This window comes from Homo sapiens, chromosome 2 (genome assembly GCF_000001405.40).
Source record: "Homo sapiens chromosome 2, GRCh38.p14 Primary Assembly".
Classification (NCBI taxonomy): Eukaryota; Metazoa; Chordata; class Mammalia; order Primates; family Hominidae; genus Homo; species Homo sapiens.
This window is the reverse complement of record NC_000002.12, coordinates 4,385,919-4,391,031: the sequence shown is the minus strand read 5'-3', so window position 1 is coordinate 4,391,031 and position 5,113 is coordinate 4,385,919. Positions and strand designations below refer to the sequence as shown.

At 37.7% G+C, this 5,113-nt stretch overlaps 1 annotated feature.

Annotated features, from left to right (window-relative positions):
• Positions 679–1,194: an enhancer, noted in NCBI's record as "NANOG hESC enhancer chr2:4437428-4437943 (GRCh37/hg19 assembly coordinates)". NCBI's record gives its function as "activates a minimal SCP1, AML or CMV promoter by ChIP-STARR-seq in naive H9 embryonic stem cells {active_cell/tissue: H9 hESC(naive)}" and the evidence as "EXISTENCE:reporter gene assay evidence [ECO:0000049][PMID:30033119]".

Sequence of the window (5,113 nt, the reverse complement as noted above, 5' to 3'; positions counted from 1 at the left end):
CTTTCACATGATGCGAAGCCTGTGGTTGCACAGTATGCAAGAATAAGGAAACTTGGCAGCTTCCAGCTAGATTTCAGAGAATGTATGAGAAAACCTGGGTTCCCAGGAATAAGCCCACTGCAGAATCAGAGCTTTCACAGAGAACCTCTACTATAGCAATGCTAAGGGCAAATGTAGGGGTTGGAGGCTCCATAGAGAGTCCCCACCAGGACAATTTCTTATGGGAAAGAGGCTGCTGCCCTCCAGAACCCAAAATGTTAGGTCTACCAGCAACTTGCATGCTGTACTTGGAAGAACTGCAGACTTCCAACTCTAACTTATGAGAGTAGACTTGGGGGCTGCACCTTGCAGAGCCACAGGGGCAGAGCTGGACCAATGTGACTTTGATACAGTACATAACGTCTAAAGAGATTTTCTGGAGCTTTAAGATTTAGTGACTACCCTGCTGGCTGTCAGACTAGCGTGAGGCCTATTGCCCCTTGCTATTGGCCCATTTCTGTCTTTTGGAATGATAATGTTTACCCAATACCTGTACTATCATTGTATCTTGGGAGTACATGACTTAATTTGATTTTACACGCTTCTAGGTGGAAGGACATGAATCTCAGATGAGACTTAGAAGTTTGGACTTGATGCTGGGATGAGTTAAGACTTTTGGGGACTATTGGCAAATGATGATTATATTTTACAACATGAGAAGGATATGAGATTTGAGGGGCTAGAGGTGTAATATTATTGTGACGTTTTTCCCCTCCAAATTTCATGTTGAAATGTAATCTCCAATGTTGGATATGGGCCCTGTTAGGAGGGGTTTGGGTCATGGTTTCAGATCTCTCATGAATGGCTTGATGCTTTCTGTCAGGCCTCTGAGCCCAAGCCTGCATGTATACATCCAGATGGCCTGAAGCAAGTGAAGAATCACAAAAGAAGTGAAAATGTCTGGTTCCTGCCTTAACTGATGACATTACCTTGTGAAATTCCTTCTCCTGGCTCAGAAGCTCCCCCACTGAGCACCTTGTGACCCCGGCCCCTGCCCGCCAGAGAACAACCCCTTTGACTGTAATTTTCCACTATCTACCCAAATCCTATAAAATGGCCTATAAAATGGACTCAGCCCGCCTGCAACCAGGTGATTAAAAAGCTTTATTGCTCACACAAAGACTGTTTGGTGGTCTCTTCACACAGATGCATGTGACACTTTCCTTGCAATAGTGAGTTCTCACAAGATCTGGTTGTTTAAAAGTGTGCAGCACATCCCCCCCTTGCTCTCTCTTGCCCCCACTCTTGCCCTCTTCACTTTGGCTACCATGACTGTAAGCCTCCTGAGGCCCTCACCAGAAGCAGATAATAAAGACATCATTGTACAGCCTGCAGAACTTTGAGCCAATTAAACCTCTTTTCTTTATATATTATCCACTTTCAGGTAATTCTTTATAGTCACACAAAAATGGCCTAATACATATCTTTTATGACCACAATGGAATAAAACTAAGAATCACTAATAATAGAAACTTTGGAAACTATAAAACATGGAAATTAAACAGTATGCTCCTGAAAGACCTTTGGGTCAATGAAGAAATTAGGAAAGAAACTGAAGAATTTTTTGAAACAAATGAAAATGAAAACACAACATACAAAAACCAATGGGATACAGAAAAAGCAGTACTAAGGGTAAGTTGTATTAGTCCATTCTTACACTACTATAAAGAATACCCAAGACTGGGTAACTTATAAAAACATATATGTTTAATTGACTCACAGTTCTGCATGTCTGGGGAGGCCTCAGGAAACTTACAATCATGGCGGGAGTAGAAGCAGGCACTTTCTTCACAAGGTGGCAGGAGAGAATGAAATGTGAACACAGGAAAAACTGCCACTTTTAAAACCATCAGATCTCATGAGACCCACTCGCTATCATACAAACAGCATGGGAGAAGCCAGCTCCATGATCCAACCACTTCCCTCCCTCAACATGTGAGGATTTCAATTCCCTCCCTCAACATGTGAGGATTTCAATTCCCTGCCTCTACATGTGAGGATTACAATTTGAGATGATATTTCAGTGGAGACAAAAATCAAACCATTTCATACGTTTATTAAAATAAGTGTCTACATCAAAAAGTAGAGATATTTCAAATAAACAATCTAACAATGCATCTTAAAGAACTAGAAAAGCAAAAGCAAACCAAACCCAAAATTAATAGAAGAAAATAAATAATAAAAATCAGAGCAAAAATAAATGAAATTGAGACTAAAAAATTATACAATAGGTCAACAAAACTAAAAGTTGCAATTGTTTTGAAAGATAAACAAAATCAACAAACTTTAGCCAGACTAAGAAAAAAAGAAAGAATACTTAGATAAATCAGAGATGAAAGAGGAGACATTATAACTGATACCACAGAAATTCAAAGAATCATGAGACTATTACAAGCAACTATATCCCAGTAAACTAGAAGACCGAGAAGAAACGGATGAATTCCTAGGCACATATAGCCTAACCAAGATTGAACCTTGAATAAATCCAAAACCTGAATAGACTAATAACAAGTAATGACATAGAAGCAATAATAAATAGTCTCCCATCCAAGAAAAGCTCAGAACCTCATTGTTTCACAGCTGAATTCTACCAACCATTTAAAGAACTAATACTAATCCTACTCAAACTTGTCCAAAAAATTGAGAAAGATAGAATACTTCCAAACTCATTCTATGAGGCGAGTATTATGCTGATACTAAAACCAGACAAAGGAACCAAATAAAATAAAATTACAAGCCAATGTCTCTGATGGAAATAGATGCAAATACTATCAACAAAATACAAGCAAGCTAAATTCAATAACACATTAAAAACATCATCCATCATGACCAAGTGGCATTCATCCTCAGGAGGCAAAGATGATTCAATATATGCAAATTGATAAATGTGATACATCGTATCTGCAAAATTAAGGACAGAATCCATGCGATCATTTCAATTGATGCTGGAAAAGCATTTGATAAAATGCAACATTTCTTCACGATAAAAACTCTCAAAAAACTGGGGATAGAAGAATATACCCCAACATGGCAAAAGCCATACACAACAAACCCACAGCTAGTATCATACTGAATGAGGAAAAACTGTAAGCCTTTCCTTTAAGATCTAGAATAAGACAGGGATAACCACTTTCACCACTTCTACTCAATATAGTACTGGAAGTTCCAGCCAGAGCAATCAGACAAGAGAAAGAAATAAAAGGCATCTGAATTGGAAAGGAAGAAGTCAAATTATCCTTGTTTACAGATGATATAATCTTATATTTAGAAAAACCTAAAGACACCACCAAAAAACTATTAGAACGGATAAACATATTCAATAAAGTTGGAGGATACAAATCAACATACAAAAATCAGTAGTATTTCCATATGCCAACAGCCAACAATCTAAAAGAAAAAACAACCAAGAAGTAATCCCACTTACAATAGCTATAAGCAGAATAAAATAGCTTGGAAAAAACTTGACCAAAAAAATTGAAAGATCTCCACAGTGAAAGCTATAAAATGCCAATGAAATAAGTTGAAGAGTACACACATACAGAAATGAAAATGTATTCTATGTTCATGGATTGGAAAAGTCAATATTGTTAAAAGTATCTATGCTACCTAAAGAAATATATAGATTCAATACAATTCTTATCAAAATATCAATGACATTCTTCACAGAAATAGAAAAAAAAAATCCTAAAATTTACATGGAACTGCAAAAATCCAGAATACCCAAAGACATACTGAGCAAAAAAGAACAAAGCTGGAAAAATCACATTACCTGACTTCAAATTATACTACAAAGCTATAAGTAAACAAAACCACATGGTACTGGCATGTAGACTAATGGAGCAGAATAGAAAGCCCAAAAGTAAATCTGCATTTAAATCCAACTCATTTTTGACAAAGGTGCCAAGAATATACATTAGGAAAAGGACAGTTTTCTTCAATAAATGGTGCTGAAAATTAGCAATCCATATACAGAAGAATGAAACTGGACCCCTCACTTTCACTAGATGCAAAAATCAAGTGAAAGTGGTTAAAGACTTAAATCTAAGACCTGAAGCTATAAAACCATGGAAAGAAAACATTGAGGAAACTCTCCAAGACATTGGTCCAAACCAAGATTTCTTAAGACCCTCAACACACAGGCAACCAAAGCAAAAATAGACAAATGTGATGACATGTAGTTTAAAACCTTCTGTACAGCAGAGGAAACAGTCAACAAACTGCACAGACAACCCACAGAATGGGAGAAAATGTTTGCAAACCATTCACCCAACAACATATGTTCTGATTAATAACCAGAACATGTAAGGAACTCAATAGAAAAAAAAAAAATCACCTGATTAAAAATGGGTAAATGATCTGAATAGACAATTCTCAAAAGAAGATGTACAAATGGCCAAAAAATATATGAAAAAGATGTAGAACATCACTAATATCAGAGAAACACAAATCAAAACTGTGGGATATCATCTCACTCCAATTAAAATGGCTTTTATCCAAAAGACAGGCAATAATAAATGCAGGTAAGAATGCAGAGAAAGGAGAAACATTTGTACCTTTTTGGTTGGAATGTAAATTAGTAGAGCCACTATGGAGAACAATGTTGAGGTTTCTCAAAAAACTATAAACAGAGCCATTGTATGATCCAGCAATCTCATTGCTAAGTATATATCCAAAATAAATTCCAAATCAGTATACCAAAGATGTATCCTCATTTCTATGTTTACGGCAGCACTATTCACAATAGCCTAGGTATGGAATCAACCTAAGTATCCCTCAGTGGATAAATGGGTAAAGAAATGTGGCACAGACGCAGGGCACGGTGGCTCACGCCTGTAATCCCAGCATTTTGGGAGGCTGAGGCAGGCGGATCACGAGGTCAGGAGATCGAGATCATCCTGGCTAACACAGGTGAAACCCCGTCTCTACTAAAAATATAAAAAAATTAGCCGGGTGTAGTGACGGGCCCCTGTGGTCCCAGCTGCTGGGGAGGCTGAGGCAGGAGAATGGCGTGAACCCGGAAGGTGGAGCTTACAGTGAGCCGAGATCGTGCCACTGCATTCCAGCCTAGGCTACA